The 16,927-nt window shown below is 52.9% G+C and overlaps 1 protein-coding gene across 3 annotated transcripts, besides 3 other annotated features; it reads left to right on the top strand.

Annotated features, from left to right (window-relative positions):
• Positions 1,907 to 2,756: an enhancer, noted in NCBI's record as "H3K4me1 hESC enhancer chr3:194071533-194072382 (GRCh37/hg19 assembly coordinates)". NCBI's record gives its function as "activates a minimal SCP1, AML or CMV promoter by ChIP-STARR-seq in primed H9 embryonic stem cells {active_cell/tissue: H9 hESC(primed)}" and the evidence as "EXISTENCE:reporter gene assay evidence [ECO:0000049][PMID:30033119]".
• On the top strand, positions 2,232 to 13,792 carry CPN2 (carboxypeptidase N subunit 2). 3 transcript variants are annotated; one of them, XM_005269280.5, is made up of 3 exons: positions 2,232 to 2,318; positions 3,922 to 3,991; positions 10,855 to 13,792. In XM_005269280.5, exon 3 carries the CDS (start codon positions 10,858 to 10,860, stop codon positions 12,493 to 12,495), a length of 1,638 nt encoding a protein of 545 aa, XP_005269337.1. In that variant the 5' UTR covers positions 2,232 to 2,318; positions 3,922 to 3,991; positions 10,855 to 10,857; the 3' UTR covers positions 12,496 to 13,792. The 3 variants fall into 3 exon arrangements, with proteins under 3 accessions (XP_005269337.1, NP_001278917.1, NP_001073982.3); NM_001291988.2 differs by lacking the exon at positions 3,922 to 3,991 and having other exon boundaries at positions 10,858 to 13,792; NM_001080513.4 differs by lacking the exon at positions 3,922 to 3,991.
• Positions 14,455 to 15,121: an enhancer, noted in NCBI's record as "H3K27ac-H3K4me1 hESC enhancer chr3:194059168-194059834 (GRCh37/hg19 assembly coordinates)". NCBI's record gives its function as "activates a minimal SCP1, AML or CMV promoter by ChIP-STARR-seq in primed H9 embryonic stem cells {active_cell/tissue: H9 hESC(primed)}" and the evidence as "EXISTENCE:reporter gene assay evidence [ECO:0000049][PMID:30033119]".
• Positions 16,047 to 16,927: an enhancer, noted in NCBI's record as "H3K4me1 hESC enhancer chr3:194057362-194058242 (GRCh37/hg19 assembly coordinates)". NCBI's record gives its function as "activates a minimal SCP1, AML or CMV promoter by ChIP-STARR-seq in naive H9 embryonic stem cells {active_cell/tissue: H9 hESC(naive)}" and the evidence as "EXISTENCE:reporter gene assay evidence [ECO:0000049][PMID:30033119]".

The raw sequence follows: 16,927 nt of genomic DNA, 5'->3' as shown, positions 1-16,927 counted from the left end.
GCAGAGACTTGTAGAGATTAAATCACTTGTCTAAGGACTGACTAGTTAGTTGAAGAGTCAGAATTCAAACCTAGATCTGTCCAATGCCAAATTTCTCTTGTTCACCAGGCCACGTTGACCAATGAACAAACGGTGTTGCTGGAGGCGAGTGTGGATGGCTTGAGAACCTTGAGTACAGGGCAGTGCCAGGCTCTTCCCAGAACTGCTTGTGAGTGCCCCCACGCAAGCCATTTTTCCCAGCCACTGTCCCACCCTTGCCAGCCCGGGGGCCGCTGAGGGGGAGCTGGGCACACTGTTCACCGCCTGTCTCCATCCCAGAGGCTCCCGCTGTCCTCTGCCAGAGTGCATTTGTGGCATATCGCCACTGAAACACACTTCCTTGCCACACTCCATTAGACCTTTGCAGTTTGGCTGATGCAATCAGCTCACGTGCAAAAGAAACATTAATTTGTACTCATAAAAAGCGTAGATAAAAATCAATACCATGCAATGAGTGAAAAAGCCATCAGTCTACTTTAAATGGTAGACTCCTGGCATTGAAACGATCTTAGACTGCTCGTCCAGGTCACCCCTTCACCCTGCTCGCCTCCACACACCCACTCCTACGCTCTCACCACACACCCACATACATCCTCACACTCACACTCACTCAGTGCACACTCACACATACCCACTCACCACACACCACACACACACATACCCCAACACACTCACACCTACTGCACACACGCACACCCACCCATTCACCACACACACCACACACCCACACACTGCACACACACACCCACTCACCACACACATACACCCACACACCCACTCACTGCACACTCACACCCACTTACCACACATTTTCTCACACACTCTCATTCTACACACACGAGACATACTCATGCATATACACACCCACTTATACCACACACACCCCTACACCCACTTACACACACCCACTCACACATACACCCACTTACACACACTGCACACCTACACACACGCACTCACCACACACACCCCTACACCCATTCACACATATACCCACTCACACCCCCCACACCCACACGCACGCACTCACCAAACACTCCCCTACACCCACTTACATACCCATTCACACATACACCCACTTACACACGCACTCACCACACACACCGCTACACCCATTCACACATATACCCATTTACACACACACACCCCACACCCACACGCATGCACTCACCAAACACTCCCCTACACCCACTTACACACGCACTCACCACACACACCTTTACACCCACTCACACATACACCCACTTACACACACATCACACATGTGCTCTCACCACACACACTCCTACACTCACATACACACGCCCACTCACATATACACCCTCTTTACATACCACACCCCCACACACGCACTCACCACACACACCCCTACACCCACTCACACATACACCCACACACGCACCCACACACGCACTCACCACACACACACCCTACCCACGCGCGCACACACCCACTCACACATACACCCACTTACACACACAACACACCCCCACACATGCACTCACCACACACCCCCTACAGCCACTCACATTTACACCCACTTACATGCACACCCCCAGATGCACGCACTCAGCACACACACACTCCGTGTGTCTTGCAGCCCTGGTTCCACACCTCCGGAGATGGGAAAATCCCTCCCTTCCAAAGCAGCATCTTTCGTCCTCGGCCAGCCCTGAGTGTGTGAGCGCTCCTCTCCATATTGGGCCCCAATTCATCTCCCTATAGCTTTTCCCCCTTCTAATTCAGGAAGGGTTTAGAAAGTTCATTCATTAAACAAGCAAACAAACACAACAAGACAAAACAACAAATCCACAGCCCTCTTGAAATGCCTCCGGGCGCTGAGAGCCCAGCAGGGGCCTGAGGCTGAAGGCAGGCTCCCAGTCCCTCTGCCTCTGCTCACAGGTATGGGTGTGAGCGTGGACCCCATCCCAGGCCTCACCAACCCAGCCGCCTGCGGGAATCTCTAGAGCTTTCTGAGTGTCCTCGGGGTCCTGAAGGTGCCAACCCTGCAACCTCGGTGGGATTTTGGCCCCGGCAGGGCTCTGTACATGGGAGGAGTTCAGGGTCATTTTGTAATCTTCAGAGGCCTTGCCAAGGCCCTCTCCCGTCCTGTGACCCTGGTGACATTCTGGGACGCTGGGGCCACGTGAGGGGAGGAACCACTGCCTGGAACTTTGATCAGCGCTGGGGCTGGATTGAGCTGACCACAGGCCACACCAGACTCCTCTCTGCTCCTGAGGAAGACAGGGCAGCCCGGCGCCACCCGCTCGGCCCTCACGGTAGGCTCCCGGGGTCGCTGAAGGGCTCCAGGGTCTGCAGGGACGTGGGGGCAGGAACGGGAACTTGCGATCTCCCCCGTTTCAGAGCATTCCGCAGCTCCAGGCAGGCTGCGGTTCTGGGGGGCCCCTGCCCCGGGAGGAGAAGTCCCTGAGGTGCTCAGCTAGGGCGCTGCTGGGAAGAGGCAGGAGGAAGGTGGGGCGGGGGTTTGTGAGATGAAGATCTGCCAGTCCTGGCCTACAAGGCTGGTAGTGAGTAGAGGATAAGCAGGGTGACCAGATGTCCAGGTTGGCCTGGTTCTGCCTAGTTTATACTTGTCATCTTGGCATAATAATAATAAATAGTATTACTAATTACTTATTAATCCTATATTAATACTAAATATTATTAATTATTTATTAATATAATTATTGTTTTTTGAGATGGGGGTCTTGTTATGTTGCTCAGGCTGGTCTTGAACTCCTGGCTTCAAGCGATCCTCCCACTCAGCCTGCTGAGTAGCTGGGATTACAAGCGCATGCCACAGCACCCAGCTCAGGCCCAAGGATGACTAGCTCCTGGTTTCCTTCCCAGAAGCGTGCTGGCTCATATAATAAAGTTTGTGGTGAAATAAACCTGCAGGGGGCCACCTTTTATTGAACATTCAGTATGTGCCAGGCGCTGTGTTAAGGGCTTTCTATTTACTATCTTATTTAGCCTATTTATCATCCAATGGAGTGCTAATTTGAACTCTGAGGGCAGAGGTGATAATTAAGTCTGGAAAACCTGAGGCTTAGAGAGTTGGAGTGATTTGCACAAGCCCACACCGCTAGTAGGTGATGGCGTCAGAATCTGATCCCAGCTGGGGGCACTGGCGGAGCTAAAGTGCTTTCCCCTGCTACTAAGCAGGATGAGAGTAAGGCCTGAGATGCGAAGTCACTGAAAGCCACAAACACATTCCTTCAATTCAGCACACAGGGCCTGACTGCCTTCTCAGTGCCTGGCCCCGAGCCAGGTGCTGGGGTGCAGAGCTGCTTGCAGAGACACCACAGCAAGACTGCAGTACCACGGGCTCAGTCGGGTGGGTGCAACTGACTAGAAAACAGAGCGGAAGAGCCCAAACATTCAACACAGTACAAGAGGGATCCGAGGACCCAAGAAAGGGCCGAGCGCGGTGGCTCACGCCTGTAATCCCAGCACTTTGGGAGGCCGAGGCAGGCGGATCACCTGAGGTCAGGAGTTCGAGACCAGCCTGGCCAACACAGTGAAACCCCATCTCTACTAAAAATACAAAAATTAGCCAGATGTGGTGGCAGGCGCCTGTAATCCCAACTACTCGGGAGGCTGAGGCAGGAGAATCGCTTGAACCCGGGAGGCAGAGGTTGCAGTGAGCAGAGATGGCGTCACTGCACTCCAGCCTGGGAAACAAGAGTGAAACTCTGTCTCAAAAAAAAAAAAAAAAAAAAAAAAAAAAAAAAAAAAAAAAGAAGAGGGTAGTCAGGAAGGCTTCATGGGGGAAGTGTGACTTGCACTGGACTGGGAGGGTGGGTATAAATTGGGAGGGTCGCATAGTGCCCAGTTCACAACGGCCTCTTAGTTCAACCTGTCAGCTGTCTTCTCTTCCAGAAGCTAACACAGAGGATAGACAAGCTCCCTCGGGCCTTTGCAACATCACTGCCAGGAAGGAAAGAGTCAAGTAAGCCCCTACTGTGTGTGTGGAACTGTGCTGTGCATTTTACATGTTTATCTCAATATTTAGAATAAAATAGGTTTCAACCTTACTGCAAAAGTGATATGTTTCTTACTTAAAAATGTGGAACATATATTTTTAAGCAGAAGGAAAAAATTAAAATCATCCACAATTCAATTTTTCAGAGGTAATGACTACAAATTTTTTTCTTTTGAGATGGAGTTTCTCTCTTGTTGCCCAGGCTGGAGTGCAATAGTGCGATCTCGGCTCACTGCAACCTCCGCCTCCCGGGTTCTAGCGATTCTCCTGCCTCAGCCTCCCGAGTAGCTGGGATTACAGGCGCACACCACCACGCCCAGCTAATTTTTGTATTTTTGGTAGAGACGGGGTTTCATCATGTTGGCCAGGCTGGTCTTGAACTCTTGATCTCAGGTGATGCTCCCGCCTCAGCCTCCCAAAGTGCTGGGATTACAGGTGTGAGCCACAGTGCCAGACCCCACCACAAATATTTTGTACATAAGCTTCTATTATGTTTTCTGTGTACAAATACACCTTAAAAATGGAAAAGCAGCATTCTGAGACTTCATATATTTCACTTAAGATATTGCAAACATCTTGTCCATAAATACACATCTATAATAAATTTTCTTTTTGTTTAAAATTTTATCTTTTATTCTATTTTTTTGAGACAAGGTCTCCCCCTTCTCACGCTGGAGTGCAGTAGAGCAATCACCCACTCATTGCAGCCTCGACCTCCCAGTCTCAAGCCGTCCTCCCACCTCAGCCTCTCGAGTAGTTGAGACTACAAGCATGCACCACTATGCTTGGGTAATTTTTATAATTTTTTGAAGAGATGAGATGTTACCATGTTGCCCAGGCTGATTTCAAACTCCTGGCCTCAAGCAATCCTCCTGCCTCTGCCGCCCAAAGTGCTGGGATGACAGGCATGAGCCACTGAACCCAGCCTGTAATATAATTTTAAACATAGCAGAGAGGGTTTCCATTACATCCGAGTAGCATGATTCATGTAACCAATCCCTCATGTTGGACATTTAGGTTGTTTCTATTTTCTTGCTGCGGCCCAATGCCTGTTCTCTCATTTGAGAGTCACAATAGCCCTAACCATGCCGGGACTGAGGTATTATGATGATTATTGTTATCATGGTCGTTCTTGGTTTACAGTCGCAGACTGGGACTCTGAGAGGTGGCTTCACTCCCTGGGACACAACTGGGCAGAGGATGGGGTGGGCTGAACTGGGCAGCGGATGGGGTGGGATGAACTGGGCAGAGGGTGGGGTGGGCTGAACTGGGCAGCGGATGGGGTGGGCTGAACTAGGCAGAGGATGGGGTGGGCTGAACTGGGTGGGGGTGGTGGGCTGAACTGGGCAGCGGGTGGTGTGGGCTGAACTGGGCAGAGGATGGGGTGGGCTGAACTGGGCAGCGGATGGGGTGGGATGAACTGGGCAGTGGGTGGTGTGGGCTGAACTGGGCAGAGGATGGGGTGGGCTGAACTGGGCAGCGGATGGGGTGGGCTGAACTGGGCAGAGGGTGGGGTGGGCTGAACTGGGCAGCGGATGGGGTGGGCTGAACTAGGCAGAGGATGGGGTGGGCTGAACTGGGCGGGGGTGGTGGGCTGAACTGGGCAGCGGGTGGTGTGGGCTGAACTGGGCAGAGGATGGGGTGGGCTGAACTGGGCAGCGGATGGGGTGGGATGAACTGGGCAGTGGGTGGTGTGGGCTGAACTGGGCAGAGGATGGGGTGGGCTGAACTGGGCAGCGGATGGGGTGGGCTGAACTGGGCAGAGGGTGGGGTGGGCTGAACTGGGCAGAGGGTGGGGTGGGCTGGCCAGGGCAGCAGATGGGGTGGGCTGAACTGGGCAGAGGGTGGGGTGGGCTGAACTGGGCAGCGGATGGGGTGGGCTGAACTGGGCAGAGGGTGGGGTGGGCTGGCCAAGGCAGGAGCAGAGGCTAGAACCCAGTGCAAACCTGACCGTCTCAGCCACTGGACTTACGTTGCTGGATTGAGAAGAGAGGGGACCAGGCTTGGGGAGCAGCCAGGGACTCTGGATAAGTCTCAGAAGCCCCTCTTTGTGCTTCCAGCTGAGCTGGAGCCCAAATGGCCAAATCCAGGCCCGTTGGTGAGGCAGACATCCATGGAGCCAGCGTCGGGTGGCAGTCCCTGGGTGTCTGGGGCCAGGGTTCTAGGCCCCATTCTAGGTCCCATCACCCTCTGGAAGAAGTGAGGCTTAGCTCTGTGGTGGATGACAGACTGGCTTGAGGCATGCACAGAAACGTACCCTCCCATAAGCAATGTGAGGAGAGGAAGGAGCTCATTTGCACCCAGCCAAACCTTCCCTATCCCTCAAAAAAAAAAAACCCCATTTAAAAAGCCAGACTTCCTTGGCTTGCCGAAAGTGTGGAACATATTTGTGGGCATTTGATGGTCTTATTCCCAGATGAGGAGCAGAAAACCTCTGGCTGCCACCCCACTGTGGCCCTGGGGGCCAGCCTCCCCAGTTCCCAGGGAGGGGCGCGTCCATCTCCAGAGCTCCCCAGTGACCTGCTTTCTTGAGGCCAGGCTGGGGAAGGGGCCAAGGCCAGAGCTCCCAGTCAGAGCCCTCAGAATCTCTGCTCCCCTAAACCTTCTAGCTCTTTCCCTTGGCTGGAGGAAAGAGCTAGAAGGAGTGCTGTGGAGAGGCGTCTCATTGGCTCACAGTGGGGTGGTTGGATGATCTCATGGGTTTCTCCCTAGCTAACCCATGACTGCTTCAGCACAGAGCTGGGGCTGCACTGCTCGGAAGATCAGGGTCACTAACGTTGCCACGCATTTGCCATGTGCCAGGCCCTGAGCTTAGAGCTTTCCATGCGTTTTCTCATTCCATCCTCATAACATCCTCATCAGGAAGGTAGTAGTGTGCTCATTGTTTGGAAGAGGAGGAAAGCAAAACACAGAGAGGTTAAGCAATGCAGTCAAAGCCACAGAGCTAAGCTGGAGGGGAGTTAGGATTTGAACCCAGGCTGTCTGACTCGTAGCCACTCCCGAGTGAGGTGAGGATGGGGCTCGGGCTGAGAGTGGACCGTCTGGAAATTGTCAGTGTTCTGCGCCCTCACTGTGAGAACCATCCCTGCCTCCCTGCTCCCTGCCCCAGTAGACCCAGGCAAGAGGGGTCTTGCCCTGAACTTTAGAGGGCCCTGTTCTGGCCCTCCTCCCCCAGTGATACCACCCACAAGGGGTGCCAAGGGCACATGTCCGTCTGGAGGCTGTGCCCCCATTTTAAACCATGCTCTGGGTACCCAGGACCCCGGCCTCCGTGGGCTGCCTCCCCGGGTCCATCTTCCCTGCAGAGCCCGGGCTGTCAGGACTGGCCCTGGCCCCTCGCTTCTGTGTTGTGTTCCCTTGGGCCAGTCACTGTAGCTCCGGGAGCCCCAGTCTGCCTGCCCTGGGCACTTCTAGGTTTGCGCTGAGGATCAAGATGTATGTGCGGGAGCTTTGGGAACTGGCAGGTGGGAACTAACCCCTCAGCCAAACCCCCACATCAGGGAGATATCTCTCCCTCTGCCTGCATCTCCCGAGCCTTAGCTGATTTGCCTGTACTAGACTTTCTGTGCCACCAGTGCCATGGCTTTGATTCAAGGCTTGAATCCTAGAGCTCCTTCCTTTGTTGGAAATGTGTAAAGCACATTATTTCCAAAGACAACGGATGAAAAGTTAGAGGCACAGACCCAGGGAAGCCAGGGAGCAGCTCAGCTCGCTCCGCAGAGAGGTATCCTCACCCCAGTGGGCTCGAGCATTCCATGGTGCAACTCCGGCTTTGGCCCTGTTTTCCTGGCGGGAGGGATGAACAAAACCAGGAGATCTGGGCTCCACAAGCCAAGCCCTGCTGTGAAGACCCCGGGACCTTGCCTCACTCTCCCTGGGAGGAGGCCAGCTGGTCTCGGGACCCACAGGCCCCAGCGTTGTCTGGTCCATCACTCCAGGGGAGTACTTTCTGGAAATAGCCTTTGAGAAACAATGACCAATGGGGCTAGCAAGGAAGAGGGACTGGCATAATGATCATATTATGGCATGGTAAAAATAAGAATTTGCCGGGCACAGTGGTGTATGCCTATAGTCCCAGCCACTCTGGAGGCTGAGGCAGGAGGATCACTTACACCCGGGAGATTGAGGCTGCAGTGAGCTATGATCGTGCCACTGCACTCCAGCTTGGATAACACAGTGAAGTTCTGTCTCAAAAAATAATAAAATTAAACAAAACTGCTCCCCTCTTGCTCTCTGGAGGAATCGAGGCAGCTCTGGCAGCCTGGCTGGGGGTCATTTGTTCTGGGTTTGCCCATCCCAGGGGGGTGGCTCTGCCTCCCAAACTGCTCTTCCCAGCCTTGGAGAGCTCCATTCAACAAAACCTGCCTGAGCCCAAAGGAAGTCACTGCTGCTCTGGGCATAGAGAGATGAGTACACAGAAAAGACTGCCATGAAAACCCATCATTTCGGCACCTGTGCTGAGTGTTAGGGTGGAGACATGTACCTCCAGGTCCTTCTTCCTAGGGTCAGGGGTGGCTTCTTTCAGGACCCCTAGGGGTTTTGTGTAGGTGCCTCAGGGGCAGGCCAGGTGCTAGTGGCAGCTGTGTGTGTGTGTGGTGTGTGTTGGGGGACAGTGGCTACCCCATGCCTCTTCAGCCAGGCCCACTGCTTTCTGTTCCTAGTCTCATGCTAACTCTGTAGCTGGGGTCTAGGGACACAGAGCCAGGAGGCACACGTTTGCCTGAGGCTTGTTCCTTCCCCTCACATGTCCTAAGTGGCAGGGACATTTTCCTTTTCCTGGAAGAGGTGATTGCGGGAGTCAGATTCTATTTATTTTATTTTAATTAATTTATTTATTTTTGAGATGGACGTCTCACTCTGTCACCCAGGCTGGAGTGCAGTGGCACGATCTCGGCTTACTGCAACCTCTGCCACCCGGGTTCAAGCGATTCTCCTGCCTCAGCCTCCCGAGTAGCTGGGATTACAGATGTGCACCACCGCACCTGGCTAATTTTTGTAGGTTTTAGTAGAGACAGGTTTCACCATCTTGGCCAGGCTAATCTTGAACTCCTGACCTCAGGATCCACCTGCCTTGGCCTTTCAAAGTGCTGGGATTACAGGCGTGAGCCACTGCGCCTGGCCGCAGGAGTCAGATTCTAATCCCAGGCCAGCGGTTATTACTGGTAGAGATTTTCCTTACCGCCTCCCCAAGCTCACTTAGCTATGCATGCCTTAGAGCAGCCTAAAGGAAGGTGTGCATTTTCTCAGGGAGAAGTTGTCCCTTCTCTAATGATGAGGCAGAACATTCCTGGAAGGACTGAGAGTCACTGAGTGACTGAGCGGGAGAGTCAAGGGGGCTCCCCTAATAAGCACTGAGTCCTAAACCCATGAGTTTAATGGGAGACCTTCAGCCAGAAGCGGAATCTCCAGGTGGAGGAGGCACCAGCAGAGGGCAGCAGAGAGACAGCCAGCGAGGAGCGCTAGGGACCCAGATTCTGCAACTGCAGAACCCGATTCGCGGACCCCTTTTACTGAGAAGAAGTTGATTAAGAAAAATTAGGATTATGTTGTGAAAGAGCTTCTTTCTTTTTTAAATTTTTGGTAAATTCAAGTGTATTCCGTCTAAAGAGCATTTTGTTTTTATTTTTTTATTTTTTGGTGTTCAAATAACCTTTTCTGTAATGAGGTAGCTTGCAACCTTTAACAATGGTTAATGTGGTTGATTAATTACTCACTCTATGCCAGATCCTGATGTAAAACTGTTACCTATATATACTCACTTAATCCCTAACAATTACCCTTATGTGGTAGGGACTATTCTAATCTCCATTGTACAGATAAGGAAACTGAAGCACAGATGGATTAAGCAATAAGCCCAAGGTCACGTAGCTAGAAAGCAATGGACCTCAGATTTGAACTCATGGAATTAGGACCACTGCAAGGCATGTGAATAAGTGCTCTGCATGGGAACAGTGGCGGCCTGGAGGGCACACACCCTCTAACAGGGCAGGGGCCACGATGCCCCAGCTGGTCTTGCTATGTGGCAATGCGGGCCCACTGTCCCCAGATCACTCTGAAACCTAGACCTTTATTGTGACGTTTTCCAATTTTTACATGTTGGCTACTGATTCATATATGAACAATGTCACTGAGAAATAAATAAAACATATTTGTAAGGTGCATCACCAATTTGTGACCTGTGAGTACATGCTAGAAAATCTGTTTTTTAATTTTTTAAAAAACAGTAAAGAAAATCTAAAGAATTTTAGAGAATTTTAAAGAAATCTACTGTTCTGTAGAATCCCCAGGTCTGGGGTCCTTCTGTCCACATGACGTTGGAAATCTCCTCGGGTCTCGCCGTGGAGGAGTGGGCAGAGATGGGCAGAGGTGGGCAGGAGGAGGGCATTTCAGCAGCAGTTTTGAGGAGCCATCTCATCTCTGTGGCTGCACTTCCCCTCCACCAACTGTGCAAAGAGCAGGTGCCAGGATCTCTGCATCATTTGGCTCTGACGTGTGCTGAGATTTGGAAACTCAGGAAGAGTTACGGTCTAGGAGCTTCCAACTCAGGAATCATCTGTCCATATCCTATATGTTATCTTTAAAAATTCCACAATGCCCATGGTCTCCTTTTGTGTCTCTCTTCCATGCCTTTTTGTCTCCTTTCCACTTCTTTCCCCAGTCTGAGAAGAATACAGAAAGCCCCAAAGCCCTGGGTCTTGGTCCTGCCGCATGTTGGAGCTCGCTGTCCAGTGCTCTGGTCACTATGCCCTGGTCACTGTGCCCTGGTCACTGTGCCATGCTGTGTGATGATCAAGTTTCTCTTCCTGTTCTCTCTCCCTCCTCGAATCTAGAAGATGCTCCCTGGAGCCTGGCTGCTCTGGACCTCCCTCCTGCTCCTGGCCAGGCCTGCCCAGCCCTGTCCCATGGGTTGTGACTGCTTCGTCCAGGAGGTGTTCTGCTCAGATGAGGAGCTTGCCACCGTCCCACTGGACATCCCGCCATATACGAAAAACATCATCTTTGTGGAGACCTCGTTCACCACATTGGAAACCAGAGCTTTTGGCAGTAACCCCAACTTGACCAAGGTGGTCTTCCTCAACACTCAGCTCTGCCAGTTTAGGCCGGATGCCTTCGGGGGGCTGCCCAGGCTGGAGGACCTGGAGGTCACAGGCAGTAGCTTCTTGAACCTCAGCACCAACATCTTCTCCAACCTGACCTCGCTGGGCAAGCTCACCCTCAACTTCAACATGCTGGAGGCTCTGCCCGAGGGTCTTTTCCAGCACCTGGCTGCCCTGGAGTCCCTCCACCTGCAGGGGAACCAGCTCCAGGCCCTGCCCAGGAGGCTCTTCCAGCCTCTGACCCATCTGAAGACACTCAACCTGGCCCAGAACCTCCTGGCCCAGCTCCCGGAGGAGCTGTTCCACCCACTCACCAGCCTGCAGACCCTGAAGCTGAGCAACAACGCGCTCTCTGGTCTCCCCCAGGGTGTGTTTGGCAAACTGGGCAGCCTGCAGGAGCTCTTCCTGGACAGCAACAACATCTCGGAGCTGCCCCCTCAGGTGTTCTCCCAGCTCTTCTGCCTAGAGAGGCTGTGGCTGCAACGCAACGCCATCACGCACCTGCCGCTCTCCATCTTTGCCTCCCTGGGTAATCTGACCTTTCTGAGCTTGCAGTGGAACATGCTTCGGGTCCTGCCTGCCGGCCTCTTTGCCCACACCCCGTGCCTGGTTGGCCTGTCTCTGACCCATAACCAGCTGGAGACTGTCGCTGAGGGCACCTTTGCCCACCTGTCCAACCTGCGTTCCCTCATGCTCTCATACAATGCCATTACCCACCTCCCAGCTGGCATCTTCAGAGACCTGGAGGAGTTGGTCAAACTCTACCTGGGCAGCAACAACCTTACGGCGCTGCACCCAGCCCTCTTCCAGAACCTGTCCAAGCTGGAGCTGCTCAGCCTCTCCAAGAACCAGCTGACCACACTTCCGGAGGGCATCTTCGACACCAACTACAACCTGTTCAACCTGGCCCTGCACGGTAACCCCTGGCAGTGCGACTGCCACCTGGCCTACCTCTTCAACTGGCTGCAGCAGTACACCGATCGGCTCCTGAACATCCAGACCTACTGCGCTGGCCCTGCCTACCTCAAAGGCCAGGTGGTGCCCGCCTTGAATGAGAAGCAGCTGGTGTGTCCCGTCACCCGGGACCACTTGGGCTTCCAGGTCACGTGGCCGGACGAAAGCAAGGCAGGGGGCAGCTGGGATCTGGCTGTGCAGGAAAGGGCAGCCCGGAGCCAGTGCACCTACAGCAACCCCGAGGGCACCGTGGTGCTCGCCTGTGACCAGGCCCAGTGTCGCTGGCTGAACGTCCAGCTCTCTCCTCAGCAGGGCTCCCTGGGACTGCAGTACAATGCTAGTCAGGAGTGGGACCTGAGGTCGAGCTGCGGTTCTCTGCGGCTCACCGTGTCTATCGAGGCTCGGGCAGCAGGGCCCTAGTAGCAGCGCATACAGGAGCTGGGGAAGGGGGCCTCTGGGGCCTGACCAGGCGACAGGTAGGGGCGGAGGGGAGCTGAGTCTCCGAAGCCTTGGCTTTTCACATGCAAGGGACAGGGTTACATCCCCAAGGTGAGGGGGTGGAGTCTGGTCTGCTCCACTAACCAGGGTCTCCTCCTCCTCTTCCTTCATCGCTTCTCCTGGAGTGTGCGGCCTAACAAGGCCATCCTTATGCCTTGCAAAGCACCCTCAAAAGCTGCACCACAGCCTGGAGAATAAAATATCCTCAGCCCTGATGCCTCCCCATTATGTAACACCCAACCGCTCTCACCTACACCCTGAGGTCTATTCACTGCATCCCAGTGATACAAAGTGGAGGCCACTGCCTTCTGACATCTGGCTCAAAAGCCCAGTGTCTGTTTCCATTTATTTCCCTGGAATTTCATTTAAAATTGGTATAGAGAAAAAAAGGATGTGACAGAAGCAGAGATGACCAGAAAGCACAGGGGCAGGGTTCTGACTGGCGTGTGGGAGACCCTGTGGCCGGCACCCACCTCCACACGAGGACTAAGCTCTGATTTTTTTATCTTGCCCAAATTCCTACCTAAGGGGTCTAGGGAGTCGCGCCTTACAAATCATAAATTCTCATCAGATGGGTTTTATTTGACCCTGTATATCATGACTTATTTTTAATCTGACTATGGCATAACATTACAAGACGAGGCAAAAATATTTAACCCCCAAATATATTTCCTTGCCCTACCTTGAACTTGCCCTGCAGAGTCTCTTGTGAGGAGAATCCACATCCTATAAAGAAGCCCCTTTCCCCTTTGTTTTCCTTCCTTTCTTTCCAGTCCAGGAGATCATCAACTAAGAGCCAGGCACCCCTTTTAAGTCGATAAGAAACAGTTTACAACCTGCTCTCTCTCTCTCTGAAGTCTGCTGAGAGCTTCCCCTGCACAATAAAACTTGGCCTCCACGATCCTTTATCTTAACCTGAACATTCCTTTCCATTGATCCCAGGTCTTCAGCTAAGCTCAACCAATTGTCAACCAGAAAATGTTTAAATTTACCTACAGCCTGGAAGCACCCACCCCCGCTGCTTCGAGTTGTCCTGCCTTTCTGAACTCAACCAATGTATTTCTTAAATGTATTTGATTGATGCCTCATTCCTCCCTAAAATGTATAAAACCAAGCTGTACCTCGACCACCTTGGGCACATGTTCCCAGGCCCTCCTGAGGTCTGTGTCACGGGCCATGGCCACTCATATTTGGCTCAGAATAAATCTCTTCAAATATTTTACAGAGTTCGACTCTTTTCATCAGCACTCACAGCAATATATGCTTTCGGGAAAATTATAGTTATGCTTTGATGTGCTTACATATGCTGAATGTCAAGGATCATTTCCTTTCAATCAATAAAATGATAAATGTTGTCATATGCTGTCAGCCCATCCACATGTAGTCACAGCTGAGTTCAGTCTTCACAGACAAGGCCCCTGCATAAGAAAAACTTAAAACAAAGGCAATGCATTCCTCTGCTTGCCTTCTGAGGGCGCCCTGCCCTGCAAGGGAGTAGCTTTCAATCAAATTCTTTTCACTGCACTCAGCGACTCGCCTTGAACTCCTTCCCGCGTGAGATCCGAGAACCCTCTTTCGGGGTCTGGACTGAGACCCTTTTCTGGTCACACCACCAACACCCGGCTAATTGAATCAGGATCTCAGAAAACGGGGCCCAGGCACCGGCGTTTTGATTTTTGTTACTACCGGTTTTTAAAAGCCTCCCCAAGCGACTGAAGGGTTCAGCCAGCATTGAGAGGCAATCTCCTTCTTACACAGAGGAGGAAACTGGGGCCCACAGAGGAGCTGTGATTTGCCAAAGGCTGAAGAATGTGAAGAAAAGAGGTGTGGGTGCCGGGTGCGGTGGCTCACGCCTGTAATCCTAGCACTTTGGGAGGCTGAGGCGGGCAGATCACGAGGTCAGGAGTTTGAGACCAGCCTAGCCAACACGGTGAAACCCCGTTTCTACTAAAAATACAAAAAAAAATTAGCTGGGTGTGGTGGCACGTGCCTGTAATCCCAGCTACTCAGGAGGCTGAGGCAGGAGAACTGCTTGTCCCGGGACCTGGGAGGTAGAGGTTGTGGTGAGCTGATATCACACCATTACACTCCAGCCTGGGCAACAAGAGCGAAACTCTGTCTCAAAAAAAAAAAAAAAGAAAGAAAGAAAGAAAGAAAAGAGGTGTGGGAGCCGCGTGTGCTGAGTTCTAGTCCAGAACCCATGGAAAACGTTACTGCTGGGCCAGACCAGACACATCACCAGGAGACGGGGCACGAGGTGCCCCGGGGAGCAGGGCACACTGGGAGCTGCTTCTTCACTGATCTCTCCTTGGCCTGAGCTGGCTGTTGGCCATGCTCTTTCCCCAACATCATTTGGCAGAGAGAAATTCTGATGTTGTAATTTAATGCAGGGTTATGTTTTGAGGGGGAAATTTAATTGAGAGAAATGTCTGCTGGATTTTCCTATCCCTTTATCCCTGCCAGCGGACAGGACGTGTCTGTGGCTCAGACAGGCATTCAGGCGATGGGGATTTCCGAAGCTCCTGCTATGTGCTAGACATGGGGTCGTTTTCCCAGAGAGTGGCAACACATCCAGGCTGGAGCCAGCAGCCCAAGGCCAAGATCCCCAATCTCGGAAGGGTCTGGGCAAGGTTATTCTTAAACCAAATGAATTTGGGTGTCTGTTGCTTTGGTGAATCTGTGAATCAGCTTCCATCACCTTAGAATGTAATTGATTTGAGCCTCAGGAAGCCTGTTTCTTTTTTCTTTTTTCTTTTTTTTAAGTAGCCCCACAAGCCAAGCTCAGTGGTGTACGCCTATAGTCCCAGCTACTCAGGAGGCTGGGGTGGGAGGATCACTAGAGGCCAGGAGTTCAAGGCTAGCCTGGCCAACATAGTGAGACCCCGTCTCTAAAAAATAAATAAGAAATAAAATGCCCCACAGGAAATGAGGAAGACATTGTGTTTCCTAGTCTAATGCGGGCATGTCACACCTTCCTTCCCCCATACCTGCCCCCGCCCTTGGTTCCTGGCCTCACTGTCTTTCAGCCACCCAGGAGAGAAACCCGAGACTCAGCCCAGGCTCCCCCTCTCACATCTCCCAACACCACCCGCTTGACTCCCCCACCAAACCCTTCCTTAGACTTAGACCTGCTGGCTTGTTCTCAGGGGGCTATGCCAGTGGCACCTGGAGGTTCCCCGATGCCCTCACCCTGACCCACACTTGGCATGATGTCTTTGTAATTTTTGCAGGCCTATCAGTGTAGAATGACACCTACGCTGTTTTCGCTGGCATTTCTGTGATTCACACTCAGGTCTTTCAGGTTCTCTGTGTACGTGCGGCTCAGTTGCTAAACTTTTTTTTCTTTGGAGACGGAGCCTCGCTCTGTCACCCGGCCGGAGTGCTGTGGCGCGATCCCGGCTCACTGCAACCTCCGCCTCCTGGGTTCAAGCGATTCTCCTGCCTCAGCCTCCCGAGTAGCTGGGACTACAGGCACGCACCATCACGCCCAGCTAATTTTTGTATTTTAGTAGAGACAGGGTTTCACCATGTCGGCCAGGATGGTCTTGATCTCTTGACCTTGTGATCCACCTGCCTCGGCCTCCCAAAGTGCTGGCATCACAGGCGTGAGCCACCTTGCCTGGCCTGCTGAAACTTTTTGATTCTCTTCCCTTGGCATCCCTTGCCCTCTAGGCTCTCATCTCAAACCAGGCAACAGCTCTCACTGTTCCCTGCCTCTTGCTCTCATAAGATTTCGCTGGGCCAGCTGCCTGAAGCGCTGGCAGAAGCATGTCCCTCTTCTGCAAGACCTTCAATAACTGCCTGGGGCCTCCTTCATCAACATGCACCCTCCTCACTCTGCCCCAGGGCCCTGCAGAATCAGCTCATCTGGGCTTCCAGCCTTATCTCTTCCTCCTCGTCGCCCCTCTACAGCCCTGACCCCTCGCCCTTGCCCTTCCCCATTCCTTAGCTCAGGCTCTTCTTCACAAGTTTCCTGCTCTACTTGGAGCCCTCCTTAAGGCCCAAGATCCAATGCAGCCTTTCCCGTGGCCGGTGCTTCCTGCCGCTTCGCCTCCTCTGAACTCCCCGGCACTGGCCTGCGCTGGCCTCTTTCTGCCTTGTGTTTTCATCCCATGTGGCTGATTTGTCCCGGTGGCCAGGAGCTCCTGGGGGCCTGCTGTACATCTGGTTCCCTCCTCCCTCCCTGCCCGAGCCTTTCTCCCAGGCCAGTCCACAATACAGCTGGAAACCAGGTAGCAGGTTGTGCAGTGGCTCAGCCGGGGGCTACAAAGCGTCTGGGAGCAGGAGGGGAGGAGCGGCTAGAGGGAGGCTCAGAGGCTGGAAGCCTGAGCATTCACGGACTCCTTGGCCCTGA

Source organism: Homo sapiens, chromosome 3 (genome assembly GCF_000001405.40).
Source record: "Homo sapiens chromosome 3, GRCh38.p14 Primary Assembly".
Classification (NCBI taxonomy): Eukaryota; Metazoa; Chordata; class Mammalia; order Primates; family Hominidae; genus Homo; species Homo sapiens.
Note: the sequence above shows the minus strand (reverse complement) of the source record. Positions and strands in the feature narration are given on the sequence as shown.